The sequence below is a fragment of the Homo sapiens genome, chromosome 3, assembly GCF_000001405.40.
Source record: "Homo sapiens chromosome 3, GRCh38.p14 Primary Assembly".
Taxonomy (NCBI): domain Eukaryota; kingdom Metazoa; phylum Chordata; class Mammalia; order Primates; family Hominidae; genus Homo; species Homo sapiens.
In genome coordinates this window covers 119,914,367-119,927,205 of record NC_000003.12, presented here as the reverse complement: position 1 = coordinate 119,927,205, position 12,839 = coordinate 119,914,367, and the positions used below count along the sequence as shown (strand labels likewise).

At 34.8% G+C, this 12,839-nt stretch overlaps 1 protein-coding gene across 4 annotated transcripts in view; it reads left to right on the top strand.

Annotated features, from left to right (window-relative positions):
- Window positions 1-12,839, top strand: part of GSK3B (glycogen synthase kinase 3 beta) — a 273,127-nt gene that overhangs the window by 167,242 nt on the left and 93,046 nt on the right. For all 4 annotated transcript variants that reach the window (NM_001354596.2, NM_001146156.2, XM_006713610.4 and 1 more), the window contains exons 4-5: window positions 3,723-3,833; window positions 11,032-11,162. In NM_001354596.2, coding sequence (NP_001341525.1) covers window positions 3,723-3,833; window positions 11,032-11,162 — 242 coding nt within the window. The remainder of the gene's footprint in view (window positions 1-3,722; window positions 3,834-11,031; window positions 11,163-12,839) is intronic.

The window sequence follows — 12,839 nt, the reverse complement described above, 5'->3', positions numbered from 1 at the left end:
TACAGTGTACATGATTTTTATATGTGTATACATTGTGAAATATGTAATACTACATTTTTTAAAATGCCCATTGCCCTTACACTTAATTTAGTCAGCAAATATTTACTGAGTACCTACTGTGTGCTAGGCACTATTCTACATGGAGATAGAGCAGTGAATAAAACAGACAAAAGCCTTTGCCATCATGGAGCCTTGTCTAGTCAGAGGAAGCGGATAAAATAAAATAAACTATGTGGTTATACAATGGTAAGAGTCATTTATAAAGTGGGGAAGGCAGATGGGGAATGTGAAGGTGGAGGAATGGGTTGTAATTTTAAATGGAATGATTAAGGAAAGCCATACTAAGAAGGTAACACTTTTACCAAAGATTTTGAAGGAGTTGAGACAAATGAGCTTTGAGCATGTCTTGGGGGAGAACATTCTAGGTTAAAGAATTAGAAGCCCTGAAGTACAGAATCCCTGAATCTGAAAATGTACCATATGTGTTCAAGAAATAGCAGGGAAGTAGCTTGGCTAGAGAAAAGTAAGCAGTGAGGACAGCAGTGGAGTAGAAGAATAGAGGACAGAAATAATGAGATGGGTGTGTAGTACCTTATAGACCAATGAGGTAGAGTAGAAGAGATACAGTCTAACTTGACTTGATTTTAGTTGATAGTAGACTGGAAAGGAATAAGGGTAGAAGCAGACCATTTAGGAAGATATTACAGTAATCCACGTGAAAGGTGATAGTAGCTTGGACGAGGGTTCTACCAGTGAAGATGATGAGTGGTTGGATCCAGATAAATTTTAAAGATGGAACCATTCATATTTCCTGGCATTTGGATATGAGGGTGTATGTGTGGGTATAGGGGTGTGTGTGTGTGTGTGTGTGTGTGTGGAAGTGTAAGAGAGAAGGGGCTGGGAGTTGATTAAGGATGATTCTAAGGTTTTCAGCCAGAGCAATACCAGATACACAGTTGGATATACTAGTGTGGAGTTAAGGGCAGAGGTCTAGTATATGTGTATGTATTTATATATAATCAGTGTATAGTTGTATTGAGTCATTAGACTGGATGAGATTATCAAGGGGGAGTGAGTTTAAAGAACAGAAGAGATCTGAGGACTAAGTCCAGGGATCTTCCAATTTTTAAGAGATCAAGGAGAATAGGAGGAAGCAGAAATGGAGAAAAGAAGAGTTGTCTGTAGGGTAGGATGAAAACCAAAAAAGTATAGTGTCCTATGAAGTGAAGAAGGTGCTTCAATGAAAGGAACGTGATTGACTTTTCCAAATGGTAGTGCCAAGTCAAATAGATGAGAAGGGTAACATGATGACTGAAAATTGGCTTTGGATTCAGCAACAAGGAGATTGTTCATCTGGAATAATTTTGGCATAGTGGTAGTGAAATTCTGTTGGAGAAAGTTTTAGAATAGGAGGAGAGAGGAACTGGAGAAAGCCAGCTTAAGGAGAGGAGGCAGAAATATGGTGGTGATTAGTGTGGTTAGAGATAGTTTTTTTTTTTTAAGATGGGAGAAATAATAGCAAGTTTATGTGCTGATTGTAATGTTTCCACACGGAATAATTAATGCAGAAAGACAAAAAAAATTCTGGAGCAATGACCTTGAGTACAGGACCATTTTTGTTTTTGCTTTAACATGTAGTGATGTTTGCCTTAGGAAGGAGCTGGGTTAGCTTATCTCTAGTTACAGAAGTAAAATAAGAGTATATGGAGATAGATGCTGGTAGGTTAGTGCTTGTAGTGATGCAAGCAAGGTCATCTGTTGAGGCTGAGGTTAGAGAAGGAGTGTTAGAGGTTGAAGAGGAGGAAAGAAGAAATTAAGTGGTCTGGAAAAGTGAATGGACCAGGAAAGTGTATAATTATTGCTGGACAAATTGATTTTGAGACAAGGTGTGGCTCTGTCACCCAGACTGGAGTGCATGGCATGATCTTGGCTTATTGCAACCTTTGCCTCCCAGGCTGAAGCCATTCTCCCACCTCCTTCTCCCAAGTAACTGGGACTACAGGTGCACACCACCACGCCTGGCTAATTTTTGTATTTTTTGTAGAGATGGGGTTTTGCCATGTTGCCCAGGCTGGTCTCAAACTCATGAACTCAAGCGATCTGCCTGCCTCAGCCTCCCAAAATGCTGGGATTACAGGCGTAAGCCACCACGCCTGGCTAACAAATTAAATTTTGATGATGACTTGAACATGACACCAGTCAGCATAATTAGAGGTTTCTTTGCAGCCATGTTGAGCTCTTTGGTCGTAGACATGGACTGGGCAGAAAGCTGAACTCAACCAGGGTTGTGGAAAAACCACAAGCTTTTTCTTAGATATTTTTGGCTTTGTGGGCTATCTAGTCTCTGTCACAATTACTCAGTTCTGTCACTGTAGTCCAAAAGCAGCCATAGACAATACTTAACTGAATAGGCATAGCTCTGTTCCATTAAAAGTTTATTTTTAAAAACAGGCAGCAGACTATTCCTGTTGTTTGTTAACTCTCGTGTTAGAGAGGATAATGATGGACCGTGGAATTTAAGCAGGCTAAGAAGGGAAGAGAGGAGAACATAAGTGCGTGAAGTGTAGAGAGAAGGTAGTAGGGTCAATGGCATGATGTTTCACTATTTCCTAATCTCTGCTCTACTCTTACATGACCTTATGTTTTGAATATAGTTTTCTCTCTCTGCGTGAAATGCTTCTTTTATACACAGTTTAGATGTCATCTCTTTTATACTTTTATTTCCTCTGCTGTGGCCACTGATAATATGGAAAATGCTCAGTAAATGCTGAAAATTGAAATTCTCCACTTCAGTTTGATAGGTAAGATTATTTCAAATTGGGAGATTGTGAAAGTTTGTTTATCCACAGTATTTCTCACTCAGTAGCCAAGCCTATGCTTGAACATGGTGATTCTCAACTTTGTTTTCTGCTTCAATTTACCTGATACTGGCCACATGAACAAGGTAAGGGCAGTGCCCTGCTCTTCCTTCCTACTTGGTGCTTAAGTTAGAATGCCTTTCTTTTTCTCCACTGGTGTTGTTGAGTTGGTGTCTTTATGCTGCAGAGCATGGATATTTAAGCATAGGACCTGTAATGAGCTTGTGAGTATGGTAACACGTTGCCTTATAGGTTATTTTTTAAATTTCAGTTAATTATAGAAGACAAGTGATTGTTCTATCAGTTATATACTATCAGGTAACTATAAGATCTTTTTGTGTGTGTGTAGGTTAGAGACATTTTGGACTGTTTAGTCTGACTTTTCATATTGTAGTTGAAGAAACTGAAGCCTAGAGATGCAAGTGACTTGCACACACCAACTAGCAGAGCTAGGGCTAGAAATCCATGTTTCTTAGTTTCAGATTCAGTACTCTCCCTGCCACCACGATACTTATCTTAATAGGATATGAGGACATTGATTATCAGCCTAGAAAATATTATATTTTATGACAGGTGATATCCTCTAAAATCATGGTAACCAAAATAATCGTTTAAATGTAATTGGGAATCTTAACAATATTGAAATGACTATTTTTTCCCCATTGAATTATTAGTAAAAAGGTGTGGTTGACTTGTTTTATTATTATGGTTATATTCTGAAGTAATTTTATATAATTAAAAGTGACACATTAATCTTTAAAAATCCGAATAAGTAAATATCTAGAGAATTTACTCTAATTTGAATATTTAAAGACCAGTTTCTAATCTGTTTTGTTTTTTGTTTTTTTAAATAAACTCTTTCAGAAAGATGAGGTCTATCTTAATCTGGTGCTGGACTATGTTCCGGAAACAGTATACAGAGTTGCCAGACACTATAGTCGAGCCAAACAGACGCTCCCTGTGATTTATGTCAAGGTATGTAAAAACATAACAATTTTCCATTTTAGAAAACATTTTTTATGAACCAAGGAGAGCCTCTTTTATGTTTTAACTATATTATTGTATTTAATACTCAGGGAGAAAAACTGTAAAGTAGGTATTGTTGGAACTTTGTTAAATCCTTTTACAGTTTTAAAATGTGAATTGTGCACCTTTTGAAGTTTTATAACTCAGATAGTAAAGATATTCTGGTAAATTACAGTGAATATTTTTCACAGACATTTATAGATTTTATTTCTGCTAGCCACAGTACATTTTAATTTAACTTCTGATATCTTTATTGTGCCACAAACCAAAATAGGAGCGTATCATATAAAATTGTAAAATATAGTTATAAATATGTTCAAATTCATTTGTTCACAGATGCCATTTATATATTTTTTAGCATCTGTAGCTGCAGCTTAAACTGTTGGCAATTTTAAATATGCATTGGGTGTTGTTTATTTTTTGGTATCTAATATCAATGCCATCTTGTTTATTTCCTAGAACTCATGGCAGAATGGCTAGGTATTTATCTAGCATAATTTGTATTAAAGTTGTGGTTAGTTATTAGTAACAAATTATTTTATTAACTATGGCATTGTGAAAACTAGTAGTTAAGTTTGAAAGTTCACATATCTAAATACAATTTTTAAATTTAACCCTTTATGGAAATAACTGTAGAAAATAAAATGTCATTGACTCTGAATGTCTTATGGTTAGAGTTTTTGAAGTCTTGTTAAAAATTTAAGCTTCACAATAATAAAAGGGTTATCAAAGTAGAACCATTAATAATAGAAGTTCTTTGGATGGATTTTGCATAAGCTAATAATAATAATAATAATAATAGAAGTTCTTCAAGCACTTTTGTTAGCTAGATTACTTTGGCAAGGAGTCATATATATATATAGTATATATAATATACACTATATATTGTATATATAATATATAAACTATATATACTATAGTGTATATTACATATTTATATATAAACTATACTATATGTAGTGTATATCATATATTTATATATAAAGTATATATATACTTTATGTATAGATAAGGATGTTCTTTTTTATTATTTTTCCCTCCTCCCTTCCTTCCTTCCTTCCTTCCTTCCTTCCTTCCTTCCTTCCTTCCTTCCCTCCTTCCTTCCTTCCTTCCCTCCTTCCCTACCTACCTACCTACCTACCTACCTAACCTACCTCCTTACCTACCTACCTCCTTCCTTCCTTCCTTCCTTCATTTCACTCTGTTGCCCAGGCTGGAGTGCAGTGGCACAATCTCGGCTCACTGCAACCTCCACCCTCTGGGTTCAAGCGATTCTCCTGCCTCAGCCTCCCAAGTAGCTGGGATTACAGGCACACGCGACCATGCCCAGCTAATTTTTGTGTTTTTAGTGGAGATGTGGTTTCATCATGTTGGCTGGGCTGGTCTTGAACTCCTGACCTCAATTGATCCACCAGCTGGGACTCCCCAAGTACTGAGATTACAGGCGCAAGCCACCACGCCTGGCCAGGATATTATTTTTTAAAATGTAATTAAATTACCATTGTCATACCTATGAAAATAAATGGTATTTCATTAGTGTCATTAGATACCCAGTTTATATTTGCCTATGACATAATTTTTTTAAGTTTATATTTTTGAATTGGCATTCAGTTAAGGTTTATATACTGTGATTGGCTGATGTGCCTCTAATGTTTCTTTTAATCCATAGGTTCTCTTTTTCTCTCTCTTGAACTTTGTTGCTAAAGAAACCGGATCATTTGACCTATACTTTCTTGGTCTGGATTTTGCTGAATTTCTGTAGTGTAATTAGTATGTTCTTTGGTCATCTATATTTCCTGCAAATTGGTGGTTAGATAACTGATAATTAAATATATTTTTGGTAGGAGTCAGGACCACTTCATTTGTAGTATTGAGTGCTTTCTGAAGGAAGAACATAATGTCTTTCTTTTCCTGACGTTAGTAGCCATTGATGATCACTGCCTAAATTCATTAATTCATTAAAGGTTACAAAATGTTGATAGTCTACTGTTATTATTCCTTCTTAATTTATAAGCTGGAATAGTTTCATAAAGAGAGATTTTCCCATATCAACTATTTGTGCCCTGAGATATAGTTTATATAAAAAGACAGGAAATGTATTTGATCCCTTTTCTTTATTTACGAAAATTTATAATAGTCTATTCCATAGCATCCTCCATAGGTACCAATGAATGAGGTGTTTTGTTGTTTTAAAGTATCTTATGTGAGTCTTAATAATATTTGACCGTTTCCTTGCTTTCTAACATGACAAAGTATTCCAAGTTCATCTTACACATTTCTTCCTCAGACTTAGAATCAACCTTTTCTTCAAGAAGACCTTGTTCTTTTAGTGGGAGGTGGTATTTAGAGACCACAGTCTGGATGCTAGAGGTGCTAATTGTCACGGGATTGGTTATTGTTTCTGGGTCTTTTTAGCGAACAGAGCTAGGAAATATGTGGGTAATTTTCTCAGATGTAATGCATCTTCTTTTTTTCCAAAAATAAATACACCATGAGTTCATACTGATACTTTCAAATAAAATCGATGAGTTTTTACTTAACTGTAATAATCTTATATTTGTATTTCCTTTCTCTTACATTGAAAATTTCATTTCTCAATGATAGTAGTATAATTAATAACTTATTCTACCCAGCACCCTACATAACCATCTTAGAATAACAATTCCAACACTAGGACCACCAGCTAAAAATAATTTAAGATCTAAGCACAGCTCAGTTTTACCCATTAGATCCCATTAGGGATGAACAATCAAATTTCTCTGTTCTAAAGAAACACTGAGGTCAGGCACATTGGCTCATGCCTGTAATCCAGCATTTTGGGAGGCTGATGTGTGCAGATCACCAGAGGTCGTCAGGAGTTCAAGACCAGCCTGGCCAACATGGCGAGACCCCACCTCTACTAAAAAATATAAAAATTGGCTGGGCATCCTGGAGCACACCTGTAATCCTAGCTACTCAGGAGGCTGAGGTAGGAGAATCACTTGTACCTGAGAAGCAGAGGTTGCAGTAAGCCAAGATCATGCCACTGCACTTCAGCCTGGGTGACAGAGCAAGACTTCATCTCAAAAAAATTGAATAATTCCTCTCTGTGTGATGATGTTCCATTAAGCATTTGTTTGTTTCAGTTTACTTTTATTATAGATTGTGGTTTTCTAAATTTTCAAATAAAATTTACTTTAAAATTCATATAAAATATTTATACATAGTTCAAAGCAAGATTGACAAAACAAGGTATGTTCAAAGAAGTTCAGCTTTTATCTCTGTTCCCTCTGCTCTGTTCCTTTCCTCTACCAGTGTTAAGTATTTTTTAAGTGTTCATAATTTATCCTACCATTTTTAAAATAAGCAAACATGCAGTTATTCTTACTCTTTTTATATAAATGGTTACATAAGGTACACATTTTTCTCTTTTTTTTCAGTTAAAAATATGTCCTAGAGATCAGTCCATATTTTCGTGTGTGTGTGTGTGTGTGTCACCTTCTTTATGGCTACCATATTACTTCATCATGTGGCTGTATTCTAGTTAATTCACCCAGTGACCAATAATGCACATATTGTTTTCCTCTTGTTTTTTGTTGTGGTTTTTTTGGTTTTTGCTATAGTGAACAACCCTGTGCACTTACGGTATTTTTGCCAGCAAATAGTTGAGCTAGATATCTGGCATCCTGTATTTTAAAAAAGAAAATAAAATTATTGTACATACTGAAGTTGGCATACAGAGAGAAATCTAGCACTCCTTTCTTTCTCCCCCTTGTGGGAAAAGGGATGATTTTTCTTTTTTTTTTTTTTCTTTTTTTTTTTTCTTATGTAACCACAGCGCTTTCAGAGGCCAGATCTATTGGCTCTGGGCATTATTCTTTGGGGACATCGATCCCTTTTATCTGAAAAGATAAAAACAGTGTCTGGAATTGATGAGTTATGAGTTGATCTCCTTCACGTAGTCATTCTACATAGTTTTATTGTAATCCTATTGTATGAAAAATGTTAGATTGTGAGAGCGATATAAAAGTAGTAAATGCAAGTAACTCTTGCCTTCATGAACCTCATCATCTGATAAGGACTTGTTTGGCATACATGTTACCAGAATGGCAACTGCATTTCTTTATAATTGCCTTTCACTTTTTCTGGGAGAGTTGAGTATTTTCTATGAGTAATACACAGGTTAAAAACTGAGCACCTTTGCTTTTCTGATGAGTATATTTCAGAACTTAAGTAGGTTTTAAAATGCAACTCTAAAACAGATGACTGGCAAATCATTGTTGTGAACTTAATTTTTTTTTAATTGAAAATACATGTTTAAGGACAGGGTCTGATCACACAAGAGAGTTGGATGCATTTTTTGAATCATGAACAAAATTGTTATTACTTGTTTTAACATGTATTCTATTGTTTTATTATTTTATTACTTCAGATATTATGGCACAGAGAAGAGGGCATTGGATTTGAGTTAAATATAACTAACTGTTCAAATTGTGCTCAACTGCAAAATACATTCCTTTCTGTGATATTTTGTCCTGTAACTGAAGCATAGTAATTGTTTTATGGAAATGTTAACAGTTTTGTACCAACTTTGAATAAAATGAAAAATAAAAAAAATTGTTTTCATTGAACCTCAATATCTTCTGTAAAAACAGGGATAATGTGTATCTCAGAGTGGTTGCAAGAATTAACTAAACAAATAGGCAAATAGGCAGAAATGCTTTTCTTGGTTTGGCACTTAGTATATGTTAAATCTGTTATATTTTAAAGTGTGTTAATTATATTTGAGTTTCTAAGAATTAATCATTCTAGTCTTTTATTTAGCCACCAAACTGCTTTTTTTTTGTTTTGTTTTGTTTTTGTTTTTTTGAGAGAGAGAGAATTCCGCTCTGTGGCCCAGGCTGGAGTGCAGTGGTGCATTCTGGGTTCACTGCAACCTCTATCTCCCGGGTCCAAGCAATTCTCCTGCCCCAGCCTTCCGAGCTGGGATTACAGGCGTGCACCACCAAGACCGGCTAATTTTTTGCATTTTAGTAGAGACGGGGTTTCACCATGTTGCCCCCAGGGTGGTCTCGAACTCCTGAGCTCAGGCAACCCGCCTGCCTTGGTCTCCCAAAGTGCTAGGGTTATAGGTGTGAGCCACCGCGCCCGGCCTCCACCAAGCTATTTAATGATTATATTTTACACCTTTATTTAATAAAATATGGCAAAATACATAAATAGTAATTGAAAGAGAAGCACTTACTCAAACCACTACAGAATATTGTGTGTGTGTGATATTGAGCAAGTTGCTTAATCTCTCTGGGCCTCAGTTATTTTATATTTAAAATGGTAATAATATTAGTACTTATTACATAAGGTTATTATAAGGAGTAAGTGAAATAATACACATAAAGCAGTTAGAACAGTGCCCAGCCCATGATAAGTTGTTTTTCTGTTCTTGTTTTTGCTATCATTCTAGTCTAGAAAGCCTCTCAGCTTTCTTATAAATACACTTTTACAAAGTGAAATAACAACAAATATATAATATTGCATATTTCATTCTTTATCTTGACTTTTCTAGATAAACTTTTCAAAACAATGAAGATAGAGTAGATCTTTCAGATGAAAGAATACAGTAAAAAGACATCTTAAAATTAACCTCATTTAAACGATTAAGCTTTTTTTTTTTAAAAAAAAAAAAGAAAACTCGTTTTCACTGATTCTTGCAGACCTAGACATCAATACCCTGACACAGTAAAATCTCTTTTTTTAGTAAATTTATGCCTATGAACTCAGTTTCTTATGGGAGGTTATCTTTTTAGTGGTAATGAATTAAACTCCTACAGTAAGCTTTAGGACTTAGAAATGGATTCTGTGAATGATGGTACAATAATAGAACTATGAAGTTTTTAAAAAATGTTACATGGATACCTAAATGCCTTAATTTTAACTTTGTTGGCAAAATGCTGACCTTATAAAAGATCTTATCTGTACAGTTTACATCTTGCTTCATTTTAAAGAAAACATAAACTTTTCCAGCTAATAGTTCACATTAACTTCAAGGATGTACTAAAATTCAGCTGTCTGCAGTTTTCACCATGCTTCTTAGAATGAAAGTAGGTTTCATGTTAACTTTAATTAACCTAAGCCTTAGCAGTAGCTTTTAAAGATGGTGCCATATGTCAATGCTTCATTAGACTTTTAAGTATCTTTTTTTTTAATTGTTTTTTTACCAAGATATTTATTATCTTTGGTTTGACTCATTTCAAAAATTCTGTCCATGGTGTAACTTTGGGGTAGAGGTCAGAAGGTAAACAGCCAGAAAAGTTTAAAAGTGAATCAGAACACTGACCTTGAGATAAACAGAAGGTTTAAATTATACTCTCTTCGTCCATGAAGTTTCTCTCTCCTCCAGTCAAGAGTCTGATTCTTTACTCCATGCAGACCCAGTTTCTCAGTGTATCTTTTTGGTAAGAAAACTGAGAAAGTCTTCTCTTTTGAAAGATGATGTCAATAGTCAGGCATCTGTTTTTGAATGTCATTTTGAATTATACTTTTTCTGAAGGATATTAACAGGAAGAATGGTGATGCTACTAACAGGGTTATTGATGTCTTGATAGAGCAGTGATTACAGATTTTCTCAGTCCACATGAGTTTTCCTAGACCACTGTATCAATCACCTTGGAGGCTGACATCTCAGAAGAATATTCTAAAGATCACACTTTGGAAATACGTTTACATTCAGCAGCATGCTCTACTAGAAAGAACTATAAACTTAAAAATCAGGAGACCTGGTTTCTGGCCCAAAGTTACTGATTATTCATGATTTGGGGTGCCTCTCTGAGCTTTTCATTTGTGTTTTAAATAAAAGCCCATCTTAGCAGGCTTGTAATGTGAGATGTTAGTAAAATTAAAAGTTATAAAGCACATTGTAAAATTTTCTTCTTTTGAGTTATTAAAGAATGAAGCGAATAGTACATATGGTTAATGACAGTTTAGCTAATTCATATAGAAATAGCTAATTAATACAGAAGTGACACAAAACTTGTGAAAGGAAGATTGAGTGCCAGTAATCCATAGCATTTCACCTGTTCTTTTCTGAGAATCTGTTACTTTATTGACTGCTTAAGGATTCTGATTTGTTTAGAATAGGAAGTATTTAATTAATTTCTACTATCTATTCCAGTTGTATATGTATCAGCTGTTCCGAAGTTTAGCCTATATCCATTCCTTTGGAATCTGCCATCGGGATATTAAACCGCAGAACCTCTTGTTGGATCCTGATACTGCTGTATTAAAACTCTGTGACTTTGGAAGGTAAGCTACTGTCCCTCTCCCTGCCCCTTCCCTTTTCCCCTCCTCCCCCTACTATCTTCTTTTAAATATATTCCTTTTGCAATATCAGCCTAAACACAGTAATTCTTATTCAAGAAGTATAAACTAGTGCAGCTGTGAGAGTAGTTTTGTTAGTTTCTGTCAAAATTATAAATGTATATACTCCTTCATTTAACAGTTTAACTTTTAGGAATTATTTCCTTAGGAATACATATTTACAATACAGTGTATATATAGGGATTTTTATTATAGCATTGTTTATAAGCATCCATTAGTAGGAAAATGGCTAAATAAATTACGGTACATGCAGAGTAATACATGCAACCATGAAAAAGAATGAGGCAACTCTCTGTGAACTGAAAGGGAATGATGTCTAGGAAACATTAAATGAAGAAAGCAAGATCAAGAGTATATGTATTGTATGCCACCTTTTATGTTTTAAAAACATACAGAATGTGACTATATATATATATATGTACACACACACATATATACACAAGTACATGTGTGGCTTATTTCTGAAATGGTACGTAATCCATAATATTTGATTGCCTGAGAAAGGATCTTTGGGAATATAATGTAGTTGGGAAACTCACTTTTTCATTGATTGTATTTTAGTATTGTTTGAATTTACATTAGGTATATATACTCCTTTTTCAGTAAGAACTAAATTTTTTCAAAATATTGATTATTATACATTCCTGTGTATCTTTTTAACTTCACAATTAACCTCAATTCAGGGATGAGATAAAAAACAATGCAGTGTTTTCTTCATTTTCCTCTATAATTTAACCTTTTATTCCACCCTTTTTCCTGCAAATTTCATCAAACTTTCTGCTTTTAAAAGCTCATTTCTTGGTAATATACTGTGAATTTGTAATACAACTTTATTCTTTCCATTTTCAGTTTTCAGTACTTTGTGCCTCTCTGATCTAACCTTTTAACATGTAGTCAAGCCTACATTCCCATGTAACTCAGGCAGTTACCCCGCTACTTCCTCACTGGTGTAATCACCTAATCTCTCTCCTCATGGTCCCTAAGACATCTTTACATAATTTGGATTCTCTCCAATTTAATTTTTTCACCCTTGTTACAGATTCTTTTCACCATAGCTCTATAGATAACATATTGCCCCACACTTGTTAATACCTGTGTTCCTATCCCTTTGTAATACTTTTACATCAATTCACAGTTTAAATTTGGGGTTTAACATAGGATATGTTTTCCACAGGCTTCTCTTGAGACAGATCCTTTAAAAAATAAGTAAATCTGTTCTGTCATGAGTTAATTTTTCTTAGTCTCACAATGTGTCCTCTTTCAGACTGTCCTCATTTTACTGTTTTCTAATTTCAGATGACCTATCACTTTGCAGGCCATGACTCTGTTCCCTGAACTATTTTTAAAAAGGGTGAAAGATAGTAAAACTCTTACCTGGTGTTTGAAACAAAGCACTACTACTTGTCTATAGGAAAAACTGCCCAAATCAGATATGTTTTATTGTTAATGGGGTGTCTTCACCATTGAGAGTGACTGACTTGGTAGGGACAGACTGAGACACCAAGGTTAGAAGAGCTTCTGTTCTCATATAGTGTCAAAACACTTGGTACAGCCCATTCTCTTGGGACATAAAATAGCTTTATTCTGATAAATTTGGAAGAG